The 27,104-nt window shown below is 39.9% G+C and overlaps 3 protein-coding genes across 8 annotated transcripts in view, besides 8 other annotated features; 2 read left to right on the top strand and 1 right to left on the bottom strand.

Annotated features, from left to right (window-relative positions):
* DDIAS (DNA damage induced apoptosis suppressor) overlaps positions 1 to 8,429 on the bottom strand; it is a 32,924-nt gene extending 24,495 nt beyond the window's left edge. For all 3 annotated transcript variants that reach the window (XM_024448400.2, NM_145018.4, NM_001363481.2), the window contains exon 1: positions 8,343 to 8,429. The gene's annotated coding sequence lies outside the window, so the exon portion shown is untranslated. The remainder of the gene's footprint in view (positions 1 to 8,342) is intronic.
* On the top strand, positions 8,110 to 9,251 carry LOC124902602 (uncharacterized). The gene is made up of 2 exons (XM_047427953.1): positions 8,110 to 8,117; positions 8,484 to 9,251. The coding sequence occupies exons 1-2, from the start codon at positions 8,110 to 8,112 to the stop codon at positions 9,139 to 9,141; spliced, it is 666 nt and encodes a 221-aa protein (XP_047283909.1). The 3' UTR covers positions 9,142 to 9,251.
* PRCP (prolylcarboxypeptidase) overlaps positions 8,521 to 27,104 on the top strand; it is a 78,709-nt gene continuing 60,125 nt past the window's right edge. For 2 of the 4 annotated variants that reach the window (NM_001319214.2, XM_005274093.2), the window contains exon 1: positions 8,521 to 8,572. Coding sequence is in view for 2 of the 4 variants with exons in the window: in NM_199418.4 (NP_955450.2) it covers positions 9,763 to 9,930; positions 25,280 to 25,342 (231 nt within the window). In the remaining 2 variants the exon portion in view is untranslated. Of the gene's footprint in view, positions 8,573 to 9,734; positions 9,931 to 25,279; positions 25,343 to 27,104 lie in introns of those variants that run through there. The other 2 variants (NM_199418.4, NM_005040.4) reach the window with 2 other exon arrangements.
* Positions 8,800 to 8,889: a silencer, noted in NCBI's record as "silent region_3817". NCBI's record gives its function as "represses an Ori minimal core promoter by ATAC-STARR-seq in GM12878 lymphoblastoid cells {active_cell/tissue: GM12878}" and the evidence as "EXISTENCE:reporter gene assay evidence [ECO:0000049][PMID:35858748]".
* Positions 8,940 to 8,989: a silencer, noted in NCBI's record as "silent region_3816". NCBI's record gives its function as "represses an Ori minimal core promoter by ATAC-STARR-seq in GM12878 lymphoblastoid cells {active_cell/tissue: GM12878}" and the evidence as "EXISTENCE:reporter gene assay evidence [ECO:0000049][PMID:35858748]".
* Positions 9,012 to 9,305: an enhancer blocking element, noted in NCBI's record as "294 bp MIR3 fragment used in the reporter constructs". NCBI's record gives its function as "blocks activation of a CMV promoter by a CMV enhancer when located between the enhancer and promoter in transfected HEK293 cells {active_cell/tissue: HEK293}" and the evidence as "EXISTENCE:reporter gene assay evidence [ECO:0000049][PMID:26216945]".
* Positions 9,038 to 9,299: a mobile genetic element.
* Positions 9,200 to 9,249: an enhancer, noted in NCBI's record as "active region_5336". NCBI's record gives its function as "activates an Ori minimal core promoter by ATAC-STARR-seq in GM12878 lymphoblastoid cells {active_cell/tissue: GM12878}" and the evidence as "EXISTENCE:reporter gene assay evidence [ECO:0000049][PMID:35858748]".
* Positions 9,530 to 9,629: an enhancer, noted in NCBI's record as "active region_5335". NCBI's record gives its function as "activates an Ori minimal core promoter by ATAC-STARR-seq in GM12878 lymphoblastoid cells {active_cell/tissue: GM12878}" and the evidence as "EXISTENCE:reporter gene assay evidence [ECO:0000049][PMID:35858748]".
* Positions 9,780 to 9,839: an enhancer, noted in NCBI's record as "active region_5334". NCBI's record gives its function as "activates an Ori minimal core promoter by ATAC-STARR-seq in GM12878 lymphoblastoid cells {active_cell/tissue: GM12878}" and the evidence as "EXISTENCE:reporter gene assay evidence [ECO:0000049][PMID:35858748]".
* Positions 9,960 to 10,009: an enhancer, noted in NCBI's record as "active region_5333". NCBI's record gives its function as "activates an Ori minimal core promoter by ATAC-STARR-seq in GM12878 lymphoblastoid cells {active_cell/tissue: GM12878}" and the evidence as "EXISTENCE:reporter gene assay evidence [ECO:0000049][PMID:35858748]".

The raw sequence follows: 27,104 nt of genomic DNA, 5'->3' as shown, positions 1-27,104 counted from the left end.
AAACTTTCATTTTTAAACACATGGCAAAAACTTTCAATTCTGAAATGGGTGATGCTGTTTTTGACACTGGCATCAGCAAACTGACAAAGTGGAGGTCACTGGTTTTAAAATAATAAAATCTTTTCGGTATAGTACTCTAAAGATGATGACAAACATAGAAATGTGGTGACTATGGAAGGGAGATGTTAAAGTGATACTAATTCTGATAGTCAATCAAAATAACATTTCTATAAAAATAAAATCTTGCCACTCAAGGTAATAAGATGGAAATTTACAGATGAAAGATAAATAATTTAAATAAATCACTAATCTGTATTACTGAAGGGAGCACAGAAAAGAGAACGCTAATCCTAATTTTTTGCTATCCTTGTTGGGACTCTTATATATACATTAGTAAGGTTCTGCCAAAGCCGATTATGTATTCCTAGATTTGGTTGTCACCTTAGGCTACATGGCAATCTCAAAGGACATGGTAGGGTAGGTAATACAGGATACAAAGGAAAGGCAGAAAGAAGGGTCAAAGAAAATTGCCATTGTAAGTGCTAAAACCTCAAATTCCTTGCCATTGCAACTGTCAAAAGACAAAATTACAACAATTTTGTGAAAGATCTTAATTGGCTTTATTTATGATTCTGTCAGATGTGTTTGAATAAAAAAGCAACTCCATCTTGTCTAGAGGCTGGGTAAAATGAAGCTGAGACATACTGGGCTGAATTCCCAGACGGTTAAGGCATTCTAAGTCATAGGATAAGATATGAGGTCGGCACAAAATACAGGTTATAAAGGCCTCGCTGATAAAACAGGTTGCAGTAAAGAAGCCTGCTAAAACCCACCAAAACTAAGATGGTGATGAGAGTGACCTCTGGTTGTCCTCACTGCTACACTGCCACCAGCGCCATGACAGTTTACAAATGCCATGGCAACGTCAGGAAGTTACCCTATATGGTCTAAAAGGGGGAGGCACAAATAATCCACCCCTTGTTTAGCACATCATCAAGAAATAACCATAAAAATGGGCAGCCAGCAGCCCTCGGGGCTGTTCTATGTCTTTTATTCCTTTACTTCCCTAATAAACTTGCTCTCACTTTATGGACTTGCCCTGAATTCTTTCTTGTGCGAGATCAAAGAAGCCTCTCTGGGGGTCTGAATTGGGACTACTTTCCTGTAACAATTCTAGAATCGGGAAATACTTTATTCCATAAAATAGAGTAAGTGACCCAAGGGGCTGAGCAGAGAAGTTCAGTTTTACAGAAAGAGAAGGGCTAAAGAAAGTAGAAACAAAGAACAAAAAGCAGCTTGGTCATTTCAAAGTTACTTTCCTCCTAAAGTGGGAACAGAGGAACAGAAAAATACAGGAATAACTGGTTAACATAAGGCTACTTTTTGTTGTAAGCATCAAAGGCAGAGCGAAGTTCGTTGTTATGACAATTGAAACTGGCACATGTGGGAAATTTGGTTATTTCTCTCTTCTGAGTTCTAGGAAGGTCAGATAACAATGTAGTTTTGATTTGGTGAGGTGGAACTTTAAGTATAAATGACTCTATTTTGATTTTTAGTCTGGTCCACTGGGGCCTAGTGCAGGAGCTTAGTCCAAAACAAAGGCCTCCTATAACTTTTAGTTAACATAACAAATGATGTTATGTCAACAAAGGCATTGTCCTCCACATTCTAAAATCCAATTTAGTGTAGGGTTTAGTATGGAGGTACATCTACCTGTGAGTTAGGGGAGCTAAAAGAGCATAAAGCTCACTCCTGAACATGCTGTCTCTTACCTGCTTAAAATCCTGCTATTTAGAATGAAGCCTCAATATCTCACAATGGTCTGTGCAGCCCTGGGTCATGTAGATCTTGCCAATCCCTGACCTCACTTTGTACCACTCTCCTCCTCAATCACTGTATTTCAAGCCATGCTGGCCTTCTTTCTGCTCCTCAAGCACACCAAACGATTTCCCTTCTCAGGCTTTTGTGCTTACTATTCTCTTTGGCTACGATATTCTTCCCTTAGGTCTTGGAATAGTCGGTTCTTTATTGTCCTTCAATCTGTAACTCTAATGTTATCCCTTCAGAGAGCCCCACTTTAGCTCAAGTAGAATCCTCCTTCCTCTTAGTTTCTATGGCATCACCTGTTTTATCCTTCATGGTACTAACCCTGCTGGATAGTCATCCTATGTATGTCTTTGCTTACTTATTTTTGTTCATCTACCCATCACTAGCCTAAGTTTCATAAAGACGGGGACCTAGTCCACCCTGTTCTCTACTGTAACCCCAGTGCTTAGAACAGTGCTCAGTACACAGTAAGTTCACAATAAATATTTATTGAATGGGGCCAGGTGTGGTGGATCAGGCCTATAATCCCAGCACTTTGGGAGGCCAAGGTGGGAGGATTGCTTGAGCCCACCAGTTTGAGACCAGCATGGGCAACACAGCAAGAACTCATCTCTACAAATAATAAAAAATATTAGCTGGGCATGGTGGTGCATGCTTGTAGTTCCAGCTACTCAGGAGGCTGAGGTGGGAAGGTCACTTGAGTCTGGGAGATTGAGGCTGCAGTGCGCGGTATTGCGCCACTGCACTCCAGCCTGGGCAACAAAGACTAGTCTCAAAACAAAATTTATTGCATGAATGAAGAACTATAAGCAGAATTTTGCAATTCAAGAAAATTTTTACAACAGAGTAGGCAGACGCCATACGATAACCAGAATTTTCTTCCTATTTCATTTGAAGTTCCCCTAAAAAGTCTTTCTTTATTAACAAAGGGAATGGCTTTTCTTTTTTTCTACACCATATACTATTGTACCTCTGTAGTCCTACCATTTGTTTTGTCTATTGTAGTGTATTGTCTATTTGGTTTTATTCTCCCTAATGCCTATTCTCTTAACTTTCTTTTTGCTCTTTATGTGCTAGTAATTTATGCCAAGAGAAACAATCTGAGTTGTGTTCCTTGCTTCCCCACCCCCACAATATGTTTCACATTTCTATGCCTTTGCTTTTTTCCATTCTTCTCTCTAAAATGCTTTCATTCTCTTGGTAATGCTTATTATTCTTTAAGATCCTTCTTAGAAGTCTTCTTTTCTAGGACGTTTTCCCAGAAGTTAAATTACTCTTTAATTCATCACATGCCACATTATATTAAATTTATCTGTTCAATATGGCTTGTTTTTCCTGGACTCAAAGTAAGATCGTAGAAGGACTATCTGTTTATATCTTCAGTGCCAAGCTCAGAAATTGTCAATCTGAACTTCAGATATTAATCTTCATGATTTGCATTTCCTCTTCCCAAGCCACAATTTTGTCACATAGCGTTAAATATAAAACACAATTTTACCAAATCATAAAATTATCTTCTATTTGTATACGAAGTACACAGCCTAGTTTCATATATAGTACCTTATTTCATACTTATTTTAATCATTACTTACATCTTATCCTCACTTCTAATTTTTTTACTTCTGTTCATATTGTGAGCAGAGACTATTTTCTTTAGGGCTCTAAAACAGAATTTTATACTGTACCACAACAATATGGGCATTCATCAAATCATGTTCTTTACACAATTGTTATTCAAACTTTAGGAAATGTAATAAACTTGTAACATGACTCGTACACTGGGCTAAGTGAAAATAAGATACTGTCTGTCCTAAAAAAAATTGCTAATTGGGCAGACAACTCACTAATAAATGAAAAACTTAAATAAGCAGGAAATTTTGGGTTCATTTCTAAATTAATTGTGCCAGCACTTATTACTATACTTTTAAAGGAAGGTTGGTTACATTGTCTTTATTTAAGGGTTTACTGCCCTCTAGTGGATCAAATAAGTAAGTCTAAAAATCTATAAAAACAGCAAATTTGAGAACTGTAATGAAAGGGATCATTAGTATTTTTACTATTTGTATTTCACCTGGTGAACCCCAGAAAATGGCAAAAAGGCTTCCCATTTATTGTCTGTTGGACAATAATAGAATAAGATCGTTTCAGACAGTTACTGTTAATTAATTTCCTTTGGTGTTTTCATAATATTTCCTTCATACTTGCCACCTAGTTTATTTTTGTATTTATTTATTTATTTACCTAGGCTCTGGGGGTGTTTTTATACTTTGTTTTATTTCTCTGTCTCTCTCTACTGCTTGACTTGCAGTATAGTGGATGCATGTCTGATGAATAATTGAATGAAACATCAGGAATAAGTAAATACTAAAATTAGGAAGATATGATGATACACTTGGGAACAATTTCATATGTGGTATCTTTTGCAGTTTATCTTTCTTTTCACATTTATTGGGAAGGATGATGATATAGTATTACATTTCTTTCAGCTCCATCACAGCAAACCATATCCCAATTTAATATGCGAACATATTTATTTATTCATCAGTTATTAGTTGTGCAGCTGCTAAATGCTAGGTGGGGATAGTGTGATTGATGGACAAACAGACAAGGTCCCTACCTAGTCACTAGACTTACAGTCTAGTGTAAGAGACAGACATTAAAATAATCACACAAAAAATTTAACTGCAATTCTGGCAAATTCTATTTTGGAAATGCATAGTGCCATGAGAAAATATAACAGGGGGACTAATTTAGTTTTTGATGGGAGGAATGGGGAAAGAGAAGAGGATAGTTAGGAAAGTATATAATCTTATTTTTAAAAAGTATTTTCTCAGGGTGGTAGTGTTAAGGGCGATTTTTATTTTCTTTATATATTTAAGATATTTTCTAAGTGTATTGCTTTTATAATTAGAAAAAATCAATAAATACAATCTAAGTGTATTGCTTTTATAATTAGAAAAAAATCAATAAATACTATAAAAATGCTGGATAGGGACATTAGCAATAATATACAAAGAAAATCTTGCTTTCTTTAAATCTCTCACACATAAAAGTAGAAATGAGGGTAGAAAGAGGGACAAAAGTGTAAGTGTTGGGGCAGAACTAATTAAGGCCTCAGTTGGCCTTTGATTTTTCAAAGGGCACATACCAGGGATTACCTAGGTCAATGTCCAGGAATGAAGGCTCCAATAGACTTATGCTTATTAAAATATGTGGGGTCCATGTGGACACACTATAGTACATATCTAATTTACCATGGGATATTCTGGAATACTTGCTTTCTCTCCTTTTAGACAAGCCATATGGGGAGCTGAACTGTAATCCAAAGATGTTCTACTAATTTACCACGAAAAATTACCATCACAGGGAAGGGACATATCAGAAGCCCATATTTGTATATTTGGTATAACCTCATATTATACTAAAATTATAAACAGAAAGTTGCTTGAAGAAGAGCTGTTTGGTGAATCAACTATTTAATGGAATCAAGCTAATGCCTGATGCATTTTTCATTCTAGAGATGGTTTTGTCAGTGGTACCAGATATATAAACTCATTGATTACAACCTCTGCATCCCATTTTCATACTAGACAAGTATTTCTCAAACTTTATCATATATCAAAATCACCCAGAAGGCTTGATAAAACAGATTGCTGGGCTCCAACTCCAGAGTTTGATTCAGTAAGTCTGGGATAAGGGCCTGAGAATCTGCATTTTAAGTTCCCAGGTAATGGCCAAATTGCCCACACTTGAAAACCAGTAGCCTAGTCATTGAGACTATCTCATGGTGTGTAACACTTGTGATAAACATGGTTATAGTTAAATCCCCAAGGCCTGACAGCATCTTAGTCTCATTTGGATGATTTTGCAATTCTTTACTCTAATCCATTATTTGGTGATCTTTCAGCTTAACTACCTCATAATCAAGTTCTCAGAAGGCAACTTAATCATTTATGAAAAACCGTGCCCATACATGCACATACCAACACATCTTTTTTTCTTCTTCCGGCTAGACTAGAAGATCTAGAAAAACTGGGTTAGATTAGAAAATCTAAACTAATTCTTATTCTATGTTAGATCCTAGAGAAAAAGTTCAATTAAGTATTTAGTGTAAACTGGCATCTGGGGATGGGGCTGAAGAGAACATAAAAGTATAAGATGTGAATCCTATCTTAAAGTTCATAATCCAGTTTGAGTTCATTTGACTGCTTTACAGTTTGCAAAGTGCTTTTGCAACATTATCTGATCCACTCAGAGAAGTTAATCAGGTCTGGAACTCATGCCTTCTGATGAGTAGCTTACCAGTCTTTCTAGTCCATTACTCTCTTTGCTCAAGCTTCACACTTGAAAGAAACTATGTGTATTTGCTTCAAGACTGTGCCCAAAGGATGAAATTACTCCTTTAAAAAACTAGTTCCACTTCTAATGGCATAAAGAAAAGAAAGTATGACTAATTTTTCTCCCTTTCTTCGTTCCTCTCCAAACCCTTCTTGCCTTGCATGAAAATCTTTGTCACCTTGTAATTCTCCAATTTTCTGTTTCATATTTTACAGGCCAAGAGGCCTCAGCTATGGGAAGGGTGGCTGTTTTGAATTGTTTTCTTAACACTGTCTAATGGTCTCCTCCAATGGCACATACTTGTTTAATTTTTCTAAAGGCAGTCATAATAAGTCCCTAAAAAATAATTTAGTAACATTGACACGAAAATTCTAGAAAAGTAAGAGAGGCAGGCAGGAGAGTGAAAATTAAGTAAGCAAAAAAACAAAGAGACAAAATCTTCAGTGAAAGGAGAAATACTGATGAAAAATGCTTTAAAAACATGAACCAGGAAAATCTTAGTACGATACAGTTTTTCCATTGATATCATTTATGAGACATTTATTACAGGGATGGAGAAGGTCACATCTCAGTAAATGGTACTACTCACTAACCAGTAACTCAAACCAGATACCTAGGAGTCATTTGTCATTCCTCCCTTTCCTTCATATCCCACATCACACTCATCAGAAGGTACTTGAATCTACTTCCATACTTAGAAACCATCATTCACTTTTCCCTCATATATTCTGCCATCATCTTAATCCAAATCACCATTATCTCCTGTTTATGGTGCTGGATTAACCTCCTAACCATGATCCGGTCTCTGCCCATCTTTCCAGACTCATCTCATACAACTGTCCTTTCTAAATATATTCCAGCTATACTGGTCTTTCCTTAGATTCTTGAACATTAACATGTCAAGCTCTTTCCTGCCTCAGGACGTTTGCACAACCTGTTCACTCTGTTTAGAATGTTTTTCTTTCCCTCTTTTGCATGGTTGGATCACGCTCATCTTTTAGGCATCAGTATCAACTCCTTGGAAAGGTCTTCTTAGACCAGTCTAATTCACATAGTTTCCTTGTAAATTCTCCTTAATTCCATCCATAAAAGGTAAGTTCCATTAGAACAGGAATCTACCTTGTTCATCATTGGATCTCAGTACCTAGCAATTCTTGGCACAGACGAAAGAAGCATTTAACTATCTGCAGAATAAACAAATAATTACTTGGTGCTCTGTGATCCAGTCCTGTGGGGTCAGGAAAGGGTTTCTGATTTAAAAGGCTTTGCAAACTGACTAAGAATTAGCCAGGTCAGGGACAGGGTCAGAAGACGGTTTGGGGTGAGAAGGAGGATAGTGCACTTCAGGAACACAAAAGACATTCTATATGGCTGGAGCGGTGGAAAACCACTAGGGCTGAAGAGCCAGGCAAAAGTCAGATAGGAAAGAGTCTGTAAGTCATGTTAAAGAGTTTGGGCTTAAACCTGAGGGCAAATAGGAGCGACTGAAAGGTTTTCAATGGGGAGTGCCTCGGTCAAATATGAACTTTATCAGCCCAGCAATGTGGAGACTGGACTGGAAGGTAGCAAGATTGAAAGCAGGAGAACCAGCTGGGGCGGCGGGGGAGGGGGGGGTTACTGTCACAGCTATGTAGCAGTCATAGGGTCGAACCAAAATAATGTCAGTAAAAAACGGAGAGAAGTGAACAGATCTGAGATATTCAAGAGGCTGGTAGGGACTGGCTGGATGTGAAAAGGAAGAAAACTTTCAAGCTCTGGTTTAAGCACATGGCTCAGTTAAAATATGTTCCTTCTAAGCCATCATAGCATTTTGGAAGATCCCCTTTCAGCACGTACTACTCTGCACAGTGGCCCACTGAATACGTATTTGCACATTACAGAAGCAAGAGTCGCGCCTTTTCCTCTCTATTTCCGATTCTAAAAGCTCACTCCGAGTCTAGCTCGATGGCACTGTAAGTGTTCAATAAACGTTCGTTAGGTGATTGCAAAAGCACTGAGTCTAAAATAAAATAACTGACGTTTATATTCTGTTACCCTCATGGCTGCCCGTTTACAGAGAACCACTTGTGAAAAAACAAGCGCCGGGCTCTGGGTGGGTCTCATTCATAATGAAGTTAAGAGCCTCCTTAGGAGTCTCCGGCTCTTCGGCTTCCCGAGAACCCCTTTACCCAGCTCACCTGGGGGAGAAGACCAGGAACGGGCCCAGGCGACGCACAGTGACTCGGACCGGCCGAACTCAGTAGCACGCCGGCAGCCTTCCAATCGAATCTCCCGCGTCCTTTTCCGCCGGAAGTAACGCTTTGGCTCTGATTACTCAGAGCCAATCAGAAGAAGGCGCCGCAGAGGGTGGAGCTTAGCGAGGAAATCCTACAAGCATCTGGAAACGACCATTTTCGTCAAACTGCGGGTAGAGTCTTTCTCCCCGACAGGTGGATCAGTAGTACAGTCCGTAAAATTGGTTTTGGAGCTTCGCTGAGCCTCCTGGGCGTAGGGTTCCCGGGAAAGTGTGGAGTGAGCCGCAGCGCCCTGGGGTCTGGCGGGGTGACTGAAAGAGGGAATGGAAGCTGGATGAAGAGGGTTGAGGGAGCTTTGGAAGCCAGACCCGGCGCTGTCCTAGGGGCTAGCACTACCCACGGGCGGAGGGAGGAAGGGGGCGGTGGCAGGAGGCAGGAGGGGGGTGGAGCGCGGAGTGGGTTTTCGGGTGCCGGAGAAGAAAGGGGGCGTTATTTGAAAGAAGGGACCGGGACCTGGCGGGATTTAGGGGCGATGTGGACCCGGGGCGACCTGTGTAATGGATGGGTTGTGCGAGCAACACAGTTTTGGGGTGACCCAAGAACGGAGTATCATAGGGAGTGGTTAGGCTCCAGATGGAGGTGGGTGCAAGGAGCACAGTCTTTGGACCTGGACCCAGCGGTCTGCGACGACGTGCTCCGCTCACTGCTGAGTGATCTAGTGCAAGTTCCCGCACCTCTCTGAGCCTCAGTTTCCACATCTGTAGATGGGAATAACAATCATATACGACGCACAAGATTGCTGTGACGATTTAGTTAGAGGAGATGATGCGTGTGCCTCCCTGCCTCGTGATACACTGGCCTGTAGTGAACCTTCAATAAATTGTCATGGTAGCTGTTATTGCCGTTACGTAGGATTTGCGGAAGGCAGGAGGTGTCGCAATGGAATTGCGGTGGCCAGGGCAGGGTTTGGTGGTGATGATAATGGTAGGGATATTGGGTGACCTGAAGGACAGGTGGGCTTCGGGGGCGCTATAGATAAAGCATGGGCTACAGCGATGAGTTAGGAAGAGGCCCTAGCATGATAAGGGCAGACTTGGGGTGTGACCGCAATGAAGGTGAGTGCTAAGGAGCAGATGGCACGAGAGGAAAGTGGAGTGGAGGCGGTGTCCTCGGGGATGGGGGCGGAGTGGCTGTGGTGACCTGGCTTGGGCGGCGTCTCTGAGGAGCTGGCTGGCTTTGGGTTTCCCCTGGGAGGAGCTGTTTTGCGGCGGGCGGAGCTGCAGGCTGGGCAGGGCTTAGCCTGTGCGCTTCTGCTGGCCTCCTTTTCGCCCTCCCACCCGCACTGCAGTCTCCAGCCTGAGCCATGGGCCGCCGAGCCCTCCTGCTCCTGCTTCTGTCTTTTCTGGCGCCCTGGGCCACCATAGCCCTCCGGCCGGCCTTAAGGGCCCTCGGCAGCCTACACTTGCCAACCAACCCCACATCCCTCCCGGCTGTAGCCAAGAACTATTCGGTTCTCTACTTCCAACAGAAGGTAAGGGGGAGCGGGGGCTTCGCCGTCCCAGGCCCAACCGCCGGGAACCCTGACCCTCAGAGCCCGGGCAACGGAGCCTACCTCGAAATTCACACCCCTTGATGCCTAGGATCTGTTCGGTTTTTGGCTAACATCTTCCAGAAGGTGGTCCCAAATCCCAGTTCTGTTTAAATTTTCTCCTCCCATTACCAATAATTTGGTAGTAGTTTTGGCTGCATACTCTTGATTCAGGCTTTTCTGTAATTGGACACGACAGTCACTTCAACTCCCTCTGCTCCCAGAGGGTGCCCCAATCCGAACTCCCTTGACCTTCCCTCAAATTCAAATTATTAAATGCCAGCTCTGGTACCTAGTCTGCGGTGATAGTCATCCTTTGCCCCAAGGCAGCCCTAAATACAAATTTTAATATCTTTACCTATTAGAAAATATTGGATAGTTATCCATCCTAAAAGCCAGCCTCTCAGAAGGGGTCAGCTCAGAGCTGATTTTGTAGCCCTATTATTAAGAATTGTTGACAGTCCCTATTCCCCATAAGACTGAATGTATGTAGCCTATGCTTGTAAAAGGAGTTGTAGGAGTTTGTGGTGGGGGTGGGGATTAGCCTTTCTATGGTCTGTAACGTGAAATTAGAGGTTTTTGGGCTTGATGCCTTTGTGCTTGGCTGCAGCATGAGGCATTCCCCCACAGGTCTTGATGGAAAAGTACATCCTCTGTGAAATGACAAGTAATCCTTACAGTTCAGCATTTCTGAAAGCCTGTGTAAAAATAGGAAAAGATTTGGAAAAGGTTGGGATTAGAAAGAGTGCAAGGGTCTGAAGCTTGGCTTTAGGAGTCAGATAGAACCGGATTCCACCCTGCTAGCTCTGTGACCTTGGGCAGGTTACAGTACTTCTGTGAGCCTAGTTCCTTGATCTCTTGGGGTTTGTGGTGATGGTTGAATGAGAGCAGATAACGTACTCTTAGCAGAGTATCTGGCTTCAAGTAGGCACTCATATAATATGTGGTTATAGACCTATGTGAAATTTTGTTGTTGTTAATTGTGCAGAGACAAGGCTCACTATGTTGCCCAGGCTAGTCTTGAACTTGTGGGCTCAATAATCCTTCTGCATCAGCCTCCCAAAGTGTTGGGATTACAGGTGTGAGCCACTGAGCCCAGCCCTTATGTGAATTTGGAATGGGAATTTGTGGTAGAGGGATGTCATAGACTTCCAGAATAACTTAGAAATAATTTAAAAATTTTTTTATTTTTAAAAATAGAGATGGGATTTTGTCATCTTGCCTAGGCTGGTCTTGAACTCCTGGGCTCAAGCGATGCCCCTGTCTTGGCCTCCCAAAGGGCTGGGATTGCAGGCGTGTGCCACTGTGTCCCCAGCCAAGAAACAATTTTTAACCCAGACATTTGAGTTCAAGTTTATGAGGAAGAGAAAACATTTTAATTTTAGCAGGGGTACTAGGAAATAATCTTTTTTCTCAGGCAACTCCCTTAAATTAATTCTCTAGGGCATAATTCCCTCATTTGTAAATTAGGAGGGTTGGGACAAGGACCAATGTGTTTTACACTTTACTGAGGAAAATTAAGGGCTCTTTGGGGAGCTGTTTCAGAGGGAAAGTGGATGAAGGCTGAAGTGGAGGCCAAATTAGGTGCTCTAGTACCCTCTCTTGGATCTCTTTCAGCTTTTACCTGTTTTATATGCTGGGATTTTATATACAACTATTTGCAGAACTCAACTGCTAAAGTAAAACGGTGGGGAGGACTATTGGATTGGGAGATCTCTAAAATCCCATTGGGATTGATGAAAAAGAGAACTATCAGCAGAAAAGAGGAAGGGAACAAATGAGTTGTTAGTACCTTAGTTCCTAATTTATGTTCCTTTATTGTAGATTCTTTTCTTGGCCACTACACTCCTTAGAAATATAATTCAACACTGTTTCTTTTTCCATTTTTGATGATATGCAAAGTCCAGCTTTACTCAGCCACATTTTGTCCACTGGCTTATATTTAATTTATATTTTAGGATACAGATTCCACGTATGTATTTATTACCATAATAATAATTTTTCTTCTGTCTATTCCAATTGAGTTTTATTTCATTTTCTGAGGAAAACTTTTACATATGTATTTATTGCATAATTATAATTATACTAGTTGCCAATTTCTGAACCATTGATTTTTAGTTAGGACTATGTGTGAACTCAACTTTAAGTTTTTAAGTTAGAGCACATGAAATACTTTGATGCCTTCTAGTAATAAACTTATTATTAAAACTGTAAGGCTTAGTTTTTTATTCAAGGTTTAATTTTTATTAAACTTTATAATGATTTACCTGTGGTTATATCTGCCCCAGTGACCAAGCTGGACCCAGCTGTCCTTCTATGTATATAAAGGATGTGGTTTTATGGAGTGGTCTCTAAGAAGGCTTAGCCCATGGTCTTATCCCTCCCCTGCTTAGAAATTCTTCATAACTCTGATTGCAGGATAAAGGCCAAACACCTTGGCATGGGAATCCATTGTTCCTTACTATGTAACCCTAGCTGGTCGTTCCAACTTTATATTCTGCCATAATTCCCCATCCCAGCTCCCACTTTTAGCAACCTAACAGACTCAAGTGACTTTTACTGTGTCAGAAATTCTGTCTGGAATACCATCCCTCTTCCCCACTATTTAAACTCATAATTCTATTCCAGCAGAAATGTCTCACCTCTTCTGCGAATCTTTGACTTCTTTAAGGAAATTTAGTTGGTCTTTTTTCATCCTGCACATTTACTATATTGTATGTGTCCCTCCAGCTCGTTAGTACTCTACAATACCTAGAAGAGCCTATAAAAAAGTATAAAGCACAAAATAAATAGTTGTTGAAAGAGTGAATGCATGATTATTCAAAAAGAACCTAAACAAAGCAAAGGCTACCATCATTTAATTGTCACAAATCATTTTTTATTTTTCTTTTTATCTTTTACTTTAATTCTTTACTAATTATTTTTTCCTCCTTTTTCAAGGTCTTCAAATATTGAGTTAGGTAGGACTATTTGATTTCTTTTACCTGAAATAACTGAATTAGGAGACCAGAGAGAGGATAGTACATCACTTGGGCACATCGAGGCTCTGGGTACATGTGTAGTATGTGTGGTATCAGTGTCATAAAGGGCTCTCTGGAATATGTGGCTTGTGGTTACAATGTTGCATGCTTATTACCTTGTACCTCCCACCTGAGCCCCTCAGGCTAGAATGTGAGTCCCAAATCACACATTTTAGTGTGTGATGTAGTGAAGAGGGAGAATGGGTCCTGTCAGGCCATCATTTTTCTCAGTGGTAAAATTGGGAGCAATATCTATTGTATTAGGGTGTGTGTCTGTGTGTTTCTCTCTCTATGAGAGAGATTTTTATTAAGGAATTGGCTCATGCAATTGTGGAGGCTTAGTAAGTCCAAAATCTTCAGGGTAGGTTGGAGGCTGGAAACCCAGGGAAGAGTTGCAGTTTGGATGCCCAGGCATTCTGCTGGCAGAATTTCTTCTTGCTTAGGGGAAGTCAGTCTTTTTTTTTTTTTTTTTTTTTTTTGAGTTGGAGTCTCGCTCTGTTGCCCAGGCTGGGGTGCAGTGGTGAGATCTCGGCTCACTGCAACATCTGCCTCCTGGGTTCAAGTGATTCCCCTGCCTTAGCCTCCCGAGTAGCTAGGATTACAGGTGCCCGCCACCACGCCTGGCTAATTTTTGCAGTTTTTAAAATACAGACAGGGTTTTACCATGTTGGCCAGGCTGGTCTTGAATTCCTGACCTCAAGTGATCCACCCACCTTGGCCTCCCAAAGTGAGGGGAAGTCAAACTTTGTTCTATTAAGGCCTTAAACTGATTAGATAAGGCCCACCCAAATTATGGAGGGTAAAGTCCACTGATTTAAAGTCCGCTGATATAAATGTTAATCTCATCCAAAAAATACCTTCACAAAAACATCTAGAATGATATTTGACTAAATAGCCGGGCACCATGGCCTATAAAGTTGGCATATAAAATTAATCATCACATCCACCAAGGTTGTTGTCAGAGTTCAGTGTCGTAACAAATGAAAGCCACATGGATGGTGCATAAAACATGGTAGGAGTTTAAACAACTTGATGGAACAAGTGCTAGTTCCTTCACAACTCTGTCCTGAAAATACACTCTCATCCAAATGCATGACAATAGTGGTAATGCCTCTTCTGAAAACTTAGTACCCAGCTATTCCTATTTAACTGCTGATCATTGTTTCTGTTACAAGTCTGTGTGTTGGCCCAGCATTGAGCTCATGGTCACTGACTTCTGCAGCTCCTTCCTCATTTGCTGTGAGGGGATCACATCAGTGGGCTAAGCTATTTAAATTTATGTACATCCTTTATAGTTCCACTTTCAATTGCTGTTCTAGGTTCCCCTTTCCCACCTTTGTCACAGTGGCCCTGATGTCTAGTAAAATGTTATGTCTAGCTATGTTAGGCACCTTGTAGGGCATGTTGATAAAGATCTTTCTCCTCCTCCTTTAAATTTTTCTTCCCCTTTCTCCTCTTCTTATCTGTTCATCTATTGATGGACTTTCCCTTAGGCCTGGAGTGTCCTGTCAGAAATATTGTGTGAATTCAGAACTGATTTATGTGTTTGGTGACACAGAATCATTTTTAGAAGGGGCCTTAGAGATCATGTAGCCTTCCCCTTAGATATGATGGATTGACCTTGATCTAAATTATAGAGGGTCAGAAACTTGATAGAGCTTGAACAGGAGGGTGGTTAAAAGCACAGCTTTTAGTGCTGGGTGTGGTGGCTCACACCTGTAATCCTAGCATTTTGAGAGGCTAGGAGGATCACTTGAGGGCAGGAGCTAGAGACCAGGTTGGGCAACATAGTGAGACCCTGTCTCTACAAAAAACAAAAAACAACTACAACAAAACCTAAAGCATACCATTTAGAGGCAAACAGGTTTGAGAGCAAGTTCTGTTTCTGCCACTACCTGAGTAAGTTACTCAGAGGCAGCCCCTATTTTCATAATCAGCAAAATGGAGATAATTATATTACCTATACCATAAGTTTGTTGTAAAAAGAGGTGGTATGTGTAAAGTGCATATTTAGCACAGTGCATAACAGTTAGTAAACAATAAATGATAAACATTATTTTTATCTTGCAGTTTCCTAATGTACATGGCTTTAATTAACCCCTTCACTTTTTTAAAATCAATAGGATTAAAATAATCAATACTTTAATAGATTTGTGGCCTAGGAATTAACCTTTTTTCTTGCTTAAAATCATTCTTTTCACACAAGATTCTGTACATAAAAAGAAGCATATGAAACTATTTCTATTTTTCTTTCTATGCTATTTTAAGTGTTGATAAAGTGTTGGGGGGAAATATGGTAATGAATTTACCCTTTTAGGTTTTTGGAAGTACCTTCTTCTCTTGATAACAATAGTAAATCTAACACTGTCTTTCTGATAGCTGAGTTTTAAATTTCTTACTAGCTAATGCTAAAATCTAATTTCAATAAAAATTAACTTTAGGTTTTTCACTGACTTGTTTATATTCCTCTGTCAGCATACTGCAGGAACTTTGTGCTTTAGAGAATTTAGACTTTTAAAACATTTTCAAAGTTTGGGTTCTAGGATCAGCCCTGCCACTAAATCACATCATACTTTTGGGCAAGTTGCCTAACCCTCTAGATCTCATTGTACTAATTTGTAAGATAAATGGATTGGATCTGCTGATCTCTGATTTACCTATAATTTTGTTCACTGAGTGCCTCCTGTTTATAGGGCACTGCGTTAGGAACAGTGGGAATGTGGGTACAAGTTTTGTTTTTTGCCATAACATTAATTGCCTTTGATGAATTGGACCTAAACAACTTTACTATCTTGACTTTGAATAAGACACAGACCCATAACATATAAAGTGTTTTTAAATTAAAAAGTAATCACCTCTTCAATTGGTACAATATTTATAATATTGCATAGTTGATTTATATTATAATATAATAAAACATTGTGTTTATGATTTTAAAGTTTGCTTGGTTGTGGGTCTATTGCAGAAGAAAGGAGAATCATAGGTAAGGAGAATACCTTGATGGTAGATCTTATTTGTCTTCATTTCTAGTGCCTTGGATGGTACTTCTTTTTATTTTTTTATATGGTTCTGACAGGATATGGTACTTCTTAATAAAGATATTATGAATTGAAAAAATTGACCATAAATTAAAATGAATAAGGAGTAAGAGATGAAAGTAAAATTACATATGTAGTGTAAATGTGTCTAATGCATTATTAATGATAGTAATTTACTACCATTTATTGAAAGCTTCAAATACCGTAAATATTATCCTAAGTACTTAATAGACATTCACTTAATTAATCCCTATTACTGTTCTATGAGGTAGATGCTATTATTCCATTTTGTAGGCAAGAGAACTATCCTTTTTGTTTGTTTATTTTTAGACAGGATCTTGCTCTGTCACTCAGGCTGGAGTGAAGCCATGTGATCATAGCTCACTAGAGCCTTGAACCTATGGGCTCAAGTGATCCTCCCACCTCAGCATCCCGGGTAGCTGGGACTACAGGTGTACACCACAATGCCTGGCTAATTTTTTAATCTTTTTGTAGAGATGGGATCTCGTTATGTTGCCCAGGCTGGTCTTGAACTCTTGTCCTCAAGCAATTCTCTTACCTTGGTCTCCCAAAGTGCTAGGATTACAGGCAGGAGCCATCAAACTCGGCGAGCAAGAGAACTATCATATAGAGAGGTTAAATTATTATACTGAGCTATACTACTTATCTGTACCATTTTGTTTTTCTGAAATTAAACTCTGATTAATTTCTAGTGCTGAAATGAATGCCATTAGCTTGCTTGTATTATCCAGGATAAGTTAGGTTTTGCTGCTATAGTAAAATTTATGAATTTCGGTCACTTAACCTAACAAAATGTATGACCCTTACTGTCATAAACTTCCAATTGAATGAGCAGGGGGCTGTGCTCCTGCTTTCACTCAGAGACTAAGTGGCTGATCGGGGTTTCCTTTTTAGCATATGCTTTCATGAACACTTAGCAGTGGAAAAAGAACATGGAAGATCTCATATGAATGCTCCAAAATGGAAATTACTTATGTCACTTCTTCTCACAATTCCTTGGCTAGAACTGGTTAAATGACTGTACCCAATCACAGGGTAGGGAGACAAAAAGTATTGGCTTTGTAGTGCCTAGACAGACAGCACTAATGACTACCATACTCAATCAGTCACTTACCCACCCACCTACCTACCTACTCAGTGCTGATCTGGTGTCTTTTGTATGTCAGGCACTGGGCTAGGTCCTGGCCAGGCATAGATGACTATACCCTGAAGGAGTTCAAATTGTACTTGTTGACCATTCCAACTGCATATACTCAAACTTATATCGAAACAACATGGAAAACACTGAAAATTTTGTAATGTCTTGGCATTCATCTGACTCCAACACACAGATTGCTTCAAGAAATAGCCCTGAAGTGAGGCGAATTTTTAAAATGTTTTCTTGCTTAACTTGTCATCATTATAATAGTTTACTGACCTGTTGTGTGTGTACATTAAAGCACATGATAAAAAGGAACTTATTTATTGATACCATCATTCAGTAATTAAAAATAATTGTTTTGCCTAGCTTTATTATAATAAAAGAAACAAAATTGATATATAGATTTTTGTAATCTTAAGTGTGCTTTGGTAAGTGTTGAGTAATTGTTAATTAAAAAGAATAATTCTGTACTGAAAATTTTTATTATCTATTTAACAATATGTATGTAATGGGATAATTTATAAAAATATTTTTTTCTTTCTGGTTCACAATTTTAAAAACCCTAGGTATTGTTTATGAGAAGTGAATGAATGAACATTTATTGATTATCTACTCTGAGCTCAATATTATGCTAAACTCTTTTACATCTCTTTTTAATTATTATTAATATAATCGCTTTTTGAAATAGATGGTTTAATTGAAACTCATAGAGGTTAAGTGTCTTAAGCTATTAAAGGACAATATTGTGAGTCATGTTTTTTATCTGTTTCTTTCAAGATCTATGATCTTTCATTGACATCATGATGTCTCTGTAATCTAAGCAGTAGTAACAAAACTGATGTCTCTGTGTCCACTTATTAGTTCATATTCAGCTTTACAACAATCCTGTGAGGTACATATTCTCACTAGTAGATTCACTTCTAAAAGTGAAGTGAAGTTCACAAATATCAAAGGAAGAAACATCCAAAATATCCCATTTGTAAATATCCTGGTTTTTCAGTCCCAAATTGTAAATAACTTGTGGTATGTCTATAAAATGGAATATTGTTAGCCCAAAAAATTATGGTCTTAAAGTATTCTGACAATGTGATAAAATGTTTATGCGTTAATAATAAATGAAAAAAGCAAAATGGAAAATGAATGTTCAATGTCTGTCTAAATTCATTTACCTAATTTTTTATTAGGTGCCTACTATATTCGAGGCACTGGGGAAAGAGCATTCTAGGCATGGGGAAAAACATTCTAGGCACAGGGAATGTCTAGGCAGGGAAGGTCAAGTGCAAAAACCCTGAGGTAGGTGTGTGCTCAGTGGGAGGAACTGTAGGGAGGATGGTATGTCTGGAGGGACATGCCCCAGGGAGAGAGTACTAGAGGAGGACAGAAAGGAGGTTCAGGGAGCCAGATAATGCGGGGACATCTGGGCCATTGTAAGGAATTTGGCCGTAAATCAGAATGAGATGAGAAGCCTTTGGAGCTTTAGGGGTAGAAGAATGACTCTGATTAATAAATCTTAAGAAACACTTTGGCTATTGTGTTGAGAATAGACTATGTAGGGGAAAGGGGGTAAACAGAAAGACCAGGTTGTTGCAAAATTTCAGATTAGAGACGATGGTGGCTTGGATTAGTGTGGTAGTGGTGGAGGCTGAGAAGTGCTCAGATTCTGGATATTTTTGAAGGTGTAGCTGAGAGGTATAGTTGATGAATTAGATGTAGGTTGTGAGATAAAGAATTGAAGATGACTCCAAGGTTTTTGGCCTGAGCAGTTAGAAGGTAGGAGTTGTCATTTACCAAGAAGGGGAAAGCTGCAGAAGGAGTAGGTTTGGGGAAGGAAGGAGAAGAGGAACTTGGTTTCAGAAATGGTATTGTGTCAAGAATTTAGAAGAAAGGTGGGGCAAGTAATACAAATTTGAAGCTGTTAGTATACAGATGGTATGTAAAACCATGAGATTGGAAGAGAGCAACAAAGGAGTTAGTGAAGATGATCTTTTCTTTTAAAGATGATCTTCTCAACACTGCATATTTAGAAGTCAGGGAAATGGGGAACCAGTTAAGGAGACTGAGAAGGAACAGTTGGAGGAGGAAAACCAGGAGGGTGTGATACCCTGATTACTTAATGAAAAAAGCATTTCCGTAAGAAGGTAACCAGTAGTGCCTAAATAAATGACTGGGAATTGGCCACTTGATTTAGCAATGTGGAGGTTATGGTGACCTTGACAGCAATTTCCTCAGAGGGTGAGTGGAGGCGAAAGCCTCATTGGAGTGGATGCAAGAGAGAATGGGAGAAGCTGAATTGAGACCACGAGTGTGGTAATCTTTTGGGGAATTTTGCTGTGAAGGGGAGCAGAAATATGGTGTGGTAGATGGAGGGGGAGAGGGTTCCCATTTTTAAGATGGGAGAAATAATCGAATGTATGCTAAGGGAAATGAGCCGAGAGAGTGAGAAAGTGACGGAACAAGAAAGAAATAGAATTGGTAGTGGGATATCTTAGGCAAGAGGAAATGGGATCTAATGAAAAAACAAGAGCATGAACAGTTTGACCATAGTCAAACTGGGTTAGGCACATCATATAGGCACAGATGAAGGTAAGAAGGTGGTATGGTAGTGAGAACTTGTGTGCTGTTTCTCAGAACGCTTCCCTTTTCCCAGCAAAATAAGATGGAAGGTCATCAGCTGAGAGTGAGAAAGGGAGAGAACAGAAATGCTCCTCTAGCAGAGAAGGAAAGTAAATGCACTAGGGGCATATGGTTTGATTGCAGGGCAGCTTTTCTAACTTTGTAAGGCCATTTGATGTAACTGTTATGTAAGTTAGTAAGGCCATTTGATGTGGCTGTATGTTTCTCTAGCTACATTCAGTTTCTTGGGTATGGCTGTGGAGTTGGTGAATTGCACTTTTGCCAAGTGAGAACAAAAAGGTGAGAGAGGCCTGGGTAGTGAGAATTGCATGCAAGGGAGTGATTACAGCCCCTTTTTGCAGCCCCTATTACCGCCTCCCCTGACTACTAGAAGAGTAAACCAGTTGGTCTTCCTAGCTTCCTGCAGTTTCCCCCTCCGGTACAGCTCCCATGGGTTGTCACATAAATCACCTCTCCTCCAGTTGAATCACTGTTCTTTTCAGAAACTGCGACTCTTTATTGTTTGCTTTATTAAGAACAAAATCCTGTAGCATTTAAGGCCTTTCAATCTATGGCCCTAACTGCCTTTCCATTTTGCTTATCTATTCACCACATATGCCCATTCCTTTCCTGTCTATGTGTTAATCCACATTGTTCCCTTTGCCTGGAATCTCTCTCTCCCATGGGCCTTACCTCTTTTATCAATCCCATTCCATTTTTTAACCCCTACCTCTAACACTGCCTCCTCCAGGAGCTGTTTTTTTTCTTCTGCTTCTGCTGCTCCTGCTGCTGCGTCTTCTGCTGCTGCTTCTGCAGCTTCCTCTGCTGCTTCTGCCTCTGCCTCCTCCAGGAGCTGTCATCCTTCTCCTTCTTCTCGCTTCCTCTTCCTCTTCTTTCTTTCTCTTCCTCCCCCTCCTTCCTCCATCCCTCCTCCTTCTCCTTCTTCTTCTTCCTCTTTTTTATTTTGTTGGTTTTTTTTTTGAGACAGAGTCTTGCTCTGTCACCCAGGCTGGAGTGCAGTGTTGTGATCATAGCCCACTGCAGACTTGGCCTCAAACTCCCGGGCTCAGGTGAACCTCCTGCCTCAGGCTCTTGAGTAGCTGAGACTAAAGGCTTGTGCCACCATGCCTGGATATTTTTTTTAAAAAAAAGAAATGGGGTCTTGCTATGTTGCCCAGGCTGGTCTTGAACTTCTGGCCTCAAGTGATCTTTCCTTCCACCTGTACCTCACAAAGTGTTGGGATTACAGGTGGGAGCCACTGCACCCAGCCCATTTTTAAATCTCCTGGACAGTGTGTGATTGGTCAAATCTTTTTTTGTACTTTTATGGCACATGTCTTATTCTAGCCTTGTGTTATATATAATCTTTTATACTCCTCTCTTATTCTACATTTAAAGCAGGAATCCTGTCTTGTAAACATCCATACTCCTCCATAGCACATGTGACATTGTTTTTCCTAGAGTATTATTTTCACAAATCTGATGAATCTCTATCTTTCCCCCTCCTTCTCTCCCATTTTTCTACACACTGAGGTAAGGAAGGTGTGTGTATATGGAGGAGGGGAAGGTTAAGGAAACTTGGATCCTAGCTGTCTCACATCCTTTGGAGAGCATGATAGAATGTCAGATAAAGACAGACCTACCTGTTTTAATTTTCTTATTTTGGGGTCTGGAAGCTGTGGCTAGAAGTTTGTGCTTTTCCTTCTCCCAACATATCTACAGAGAAAGGATTAAGGGAGGGAATGCTGCATTTCTTGTTTTTTCTTTGTTTTGTGTATGGGCGAGGGCTGGGATGGAGAATGAACACAAGAGGAATGTCTCCTTACAGGCTACTTCTGTGGTAATTGTGTACCACCTGTATTTATTATTGGAGTGTTAAAGTAAACTTTTTATGATTTCGGTTTTTCATTTGCAAGTGGAAGCCAGTTAACTGTGTATATTTGTAAATCCTTACTTTCTATGGCATACATGTTAGTTCAGGTTGCCCTGTGGTGCTGCGGCTGGAGAGAAGCAGCAGCTGTGTCTCTGTCAAGCCCATGATGCTGTCTTTCCTGCTGCTCATATGGTGCAGATTGACCACACAGGTTAGGAGAAACAGATTTGTTAAAGGCAGATTTTCTTAGAAGCTTTCTCTGAGCAGCCCTGCAATTTGGTTGTACGGTATGTATGGGCAGAAAGGTGCGATACTTTTTCTCACCCATCATAAGGGTCATGGTCAATGCCCCTATAATAAAATACAGTTTAACAAGAGAAAAGCATAACAAGTGTATTTAAGCACAGTTTTATGTGATATGGGAGTCTTCAGAAATGAAGACCCAAAAAACTCAGGGGAAACTCTTCATTTTTAGGCTTACGTTTGATGAAGAATGGACAGTCCTGTAGAAAAGTGATGGAACAAAAAGGGAAAGATCCTAGTGGTAATAGTCTGAATGGGGAAACTCAGCAAGGTCTATCTGTTCTGATTCTTCTTGGTCTCTGTGTGGCATTCTTTCCTCCTGGATGTAGTGTCAGACCCCTTTTGGAATGACGGTCTTAAGATCAACTATGGGACAAGGTAGGTCAGATAATTTCTTTGTAACCAGCTCCTATACAGAAAGGAAGGGGAAGGTTAGATTTAGTATTTTTAGGCTTCATGGCTGGCTTTCAGGAAGAAGGGTCCTAGTTTCTATGACCTGCCTTGGGGGAGAAAGAGGAGTAGGAGAGAGAAAGACAGAAGAGGGAAAGAGACTTTGCTTCTGAGACTCTTCCAGTGTTCTTCAGTTCAAAGTACTCCCAAGGAACAATACTTTGATAACAGTAAGTATCACTCTATGATAGTTGACATAGTATCAATACTTTGGGGTATTGTTTTCTGAGCTCCAACAGATAACAATGAAGTATCACTCTATGATAGTTGATATAATACCTAACAGTTACACAGTAAAACAGCACAGTCATACATTCATTTAAAAATATTTGTTGAACTCTTCCTTTGTGCCATACTCCGAGTTAATAGCTAGGGATAAATGGAGAGCAAACATAGGCCTCATGCAGCTTACAGTTTAGTGAGAAAGAAGATAGTCACAAGTAATTAAAGGTGTGATGTATGCTTTAAGGAAGTATGAGATGTCTATAATGGGATCCTAAGTCTGGAGTATTAGGGAATCCTATAGATGGTAATGATGTTAAAGGAGAGACCAGAAAGATGATTAGGAGTGAACTAGAAGAAGGGAGATGATAAAGATTTCTGTCAAGGTAGAAGGTATATCATGTACAAGATCCTAAGGTAGGAAAGACCAGGCTGTGTTGGAGGAACTGAAAAGAGGTCAGTAAGACTGAGATGGGAGGGTCAAAGATGATGACCTTGGAGGTGGGCTTCCAACACTGTGAGGTCAGTATTGTCATTATTTCCATTTACATACACACGGTGTGGATATTCCTTCTCTGTAGCTTTCATTGACTTTAAGAGCATAGCTTGGTGTTGAGATGGTGTGGGACAGAACACAGTTGATCAGAGTATGGTTGTTTTGTATTCATCTTGTGATGGCACTGAATAAATGCATATTTATCTTTTACCCTGTAGGGAGTTACTACAATTTTATAGAGGAAAAAGGGCTCAGAGGCTGAAGTGATTTATGCATGATTGCACAGCTGATAAGTGATAGAGCCAGGATTTAAACCTGGCTCTGTCAGCATCACAGCCCTTGTACCATGTTGCCTCATATTTCAGAAATAGACAGAAGGTTTTACAATTCATGGCTTATATTTAATTCATGTAGTTCAACCAAACATGTTGGTTCACACCTGTAATTCCAGCACTTTGAGAGGCTGAGGTAGGAGGATCACTTGAGACCAGGAGTTTGAGACTAGCATGAGCAAGAAAGCAAGACCCTGTCTTTAAAAAAATACAAAAATTAGCCAGGCATGGTGGTGTGCACCTGTGGTCTCAGCTACTTGGGAGGCTGAGGCAGGAGGATCACTTGAGCCTAGGAGGTCAAGGCTGCAGAGAGCTATGATTGAACCACTGTACTCCAGCATGGGCGACAGAATGACACCCTGTCAAAAAATTTAAGAATTAAAAAAATTCAGGAAGTTCATGGCTGATTTAGAGATATTAACCCATATTAGACAGTAATAAAGTTGAAGAATAAGCAGAATTTTAGTTCTCCTAACACCAGGTTGGGTAATTTTGGACAGCAAAAATATAATGGAGATTTCAATTATACAGAACTTTCTTCTGACTTTGACTTTGTGTTACAGAAAGAAGAGATTTAAATTAATGGGAACTATGTTAGCATCAGAAGGGGACTATGAAAACTTCTAAAATAACTCTATGAGTTATTTTGGATAGCTCTATATATTCATTGAGTGAAGGATGTTAAGAGACCTCCATTGACTATCACAAAAAGGTCCTATCCAAGGGAATAAAGGAAGATACATCTTTGGTGAGGCAGGAGTGAAGTCACTACTATAGAACTTTCTCTCCTGAAGCTTGGTGCTCAGTCCATGAGCAAATTATCCATTTTAAGCTTTCCCAACAACTTGAGTATAAAATTTGGCTTGGAATAAGTTATAGAGTTTGTGTAAAAGTCTCTAATCCATGCTGCATGGACTGGTCACTGCCATGTATTCATCTTTCACTCTTGGAAGAGTGAAAGGTCCTTGCATGTCCCTATCTTGCATTCTGCTTTTGAAAGTCTACCAGCTCTTAGACTAGGGAGTCAAATCTGATGAACTATACCTAAGTATTTTGTTTTCTTTAAAAGCCTGGAGACTGGTCTTATTTTTAACATGTTGTTTAGAATAAAAATGCGTTCTTCTATTTAATAAAGTGTATAATTTAAAAGGATATTAGACTGAAAATTTAAGCTAGTCTCCTTAACCACATTTATGAGAAGCCTGGCTGTTTGGACCATGATTGTAGTTGTATTATTCTGCCATCTAAGGGGAAATAAATAGTCCCTTGAGATGTGGGTTTATAATCTTCAGTATGTGGAACAATGAAAGTGATGTCACAGGTTATTTAAAAAATAAAATATCCAAAGCACTCATGTTATATTTCTGCAATATGTACCATTCCTCATAGCTCAGTTATTTATACAATGAGGAATGTATATTAAATATATATTACACATGTCACAGCATTGGTGACTATAACTGAACAGAAAGGAAAAAGAAAAACATGTCATATACCAGGCCACATCATATTTGGTGTATAAGAGGTTCTTACTGTCACGAAGACACTACCCTGTTTCTGTTATCTGTTCCAAGATAGCTGCCATTAAAAAAGTAATTTTACTTTGCAAGTCATGGTTTCTTAAGTGACCACTCAGAACAAATTGCTGAAGTTTTATATCATATTTTTTCTTTCACATGACAATATTGAGCACTGATGGCATATATTGTTTGAGCTGGGAGGTGTGTGCTAGTAAAACCTTTCAAAATATATTAGTAATAAATCAAGCCTTTACTTCCTGCAGGCCCTTGCTGCTGGGCAGTTGCACATATGTATTATCCAACTAAATCATTACAAGACTCCTCTGGTAGGTGTTATTTTTTTCATTCTGCATTTGAGAAAACAAGCTGAAAGCCATGAACTTGGTTAAGTAGCTAATAAATGGCCAAGATGGCACTGAAAGTCAGGTCTGTCTGCAAATTCTCTTCTTTTTCCACTACATCAGAACATTTGTGGTCTTCAGAAGGAGGGAAAAAAGGGTGTTAAAAGGTGCCTTGGTACAGATTAAATTTTATTAGTGCAAAAGTATGTGTGTTTATATGTTTAAGACTTGACACAACTGGATTTTTTGTAGTTGTTGAGACAGGGTCTCACTCCCAGGTGGGAGTGCACTGGTGTGATCATGGCTCACTGCAGCCTCGACATCCCGGGCTCAATCAGTTCTCCCATCTCAGCTTCCTGAGGAGCTTGACTACAGGTATGACCATTATGCCTGGCTAATTTTTGTATTTTTTTGTAGAGATGGGGTTTCTACAGGTTGCCCAGGTTGGTCTCGAATTCCTGGGCTCAAGTGATCCTCCTACTCAGCCTCCCAAAGTTCTGGGATTACAGGCCTGAACCACTGTGCCCAGCACAAATGATATTTTTGATAAGTTTTCCTGATGGCATATGACCAGCATGTTTGGCCAGCATCATTGTGATTGAATAATCTAATTTAAACCAGGAACTACAACCCAAACAATGGCTGTGATTCAGCAGATAGGAAAGTAAGGAAGTACTTGTTATCATTTGTCAGTGAATTTATATTTTTATGCAGCTTGAACTGTGGGTCACACTGCAGACACTGTCCTTTAAAACTGTCGGAAATCTCTGCCTCTTCCTGAGCACTGATGGCCTCTTCCTTTGAGGGAGCAGCTCATACAACAATTTTGGAAAGCAGCGGTGATGACTCTCTTCTCCTTGGCGTTGAGTGTTTCCTTCCTCTTGAACAATTGGCTCTAGATGACAGTGACCAGTGCAGACTAAAACAGGCTGTGGTTTGCCTTTTTATGTAGTCTAATTTCTAAAAAAACAACAACCCTTTAAAAGAGATGGGAATTTACACTTACCAACCACCCTTCTGTGATTTCATTAAGCAACCTTGGGTCACACTCATCTGTGCATCTGAGAGGCCTGCAGCAGCACCAAGTCTCATCTTTGCTTACACACATCTAACAAGTGCAGTCAACACTAATTGATGTTGTGAATTTATTTTTACGTGCTTTATTTTTAAATTCCAAACTGACTGACCCCTGCCTTCCGGGATATCTTGAATGCCCATCCCTTGCTTAGCTAGTGTAGGCTTAGACAATGCAAATATATTTTAGGATCAACCTTTAAAAACATAATCAGAGAAATAAATCTGCCAGAAAAACTCTAATATTTATTATTTATTGTTATTTATTATTGACACTGTGTGCCAGACATTACACATTTTTCATTTCATTATTTTGTACACAGTATATTGGGTTGTGGCTTACATAGTGCTGCTGTCTATCAGCTTGGAATGGTTTGTCTTCCTCCTTTCTCTCCCTAGCAAACTCCTGTTCATCTTTCACTGCTCAGGTCTTGTATCACCTCTTGTTAGGAACTGCTTTGCCTCCCTGCCATGGGCTGGGTAACTGACTACTATCCTCTTTGTGCCTCTTATTGCACTTTATAGCTACTTCGATGCTGCTACTCTGGATCGCATTGCTTTATTTATTTATATGTTGGTATCCTGTTAGACTGTGAGCAGCCTGAGTGCTAGGACTCCACCCATCAGTGTATCTCAGTGTGTGCCTTCATCAGCTCTTCAGACAAATAACTGG

The sequence above is a fragment of the Homo sapiens genome, chromosome 11, assembly GCF_000001405.40.
Source record: "Homo sapiens chromosome 11, GRCh38.p14 Primary Assembly".
Classification (NCBI taxonomy): domain Eukaryota; kingdom Metazoa; phylum Chordata; class Mammalia; order Primates; family Hominidae; genus Homo; species Homo sapiens.
Note: the sequence above shows the minus strand (reverse complement) of the source record. Positions and strands in the feature narration are given on the sequence as shown.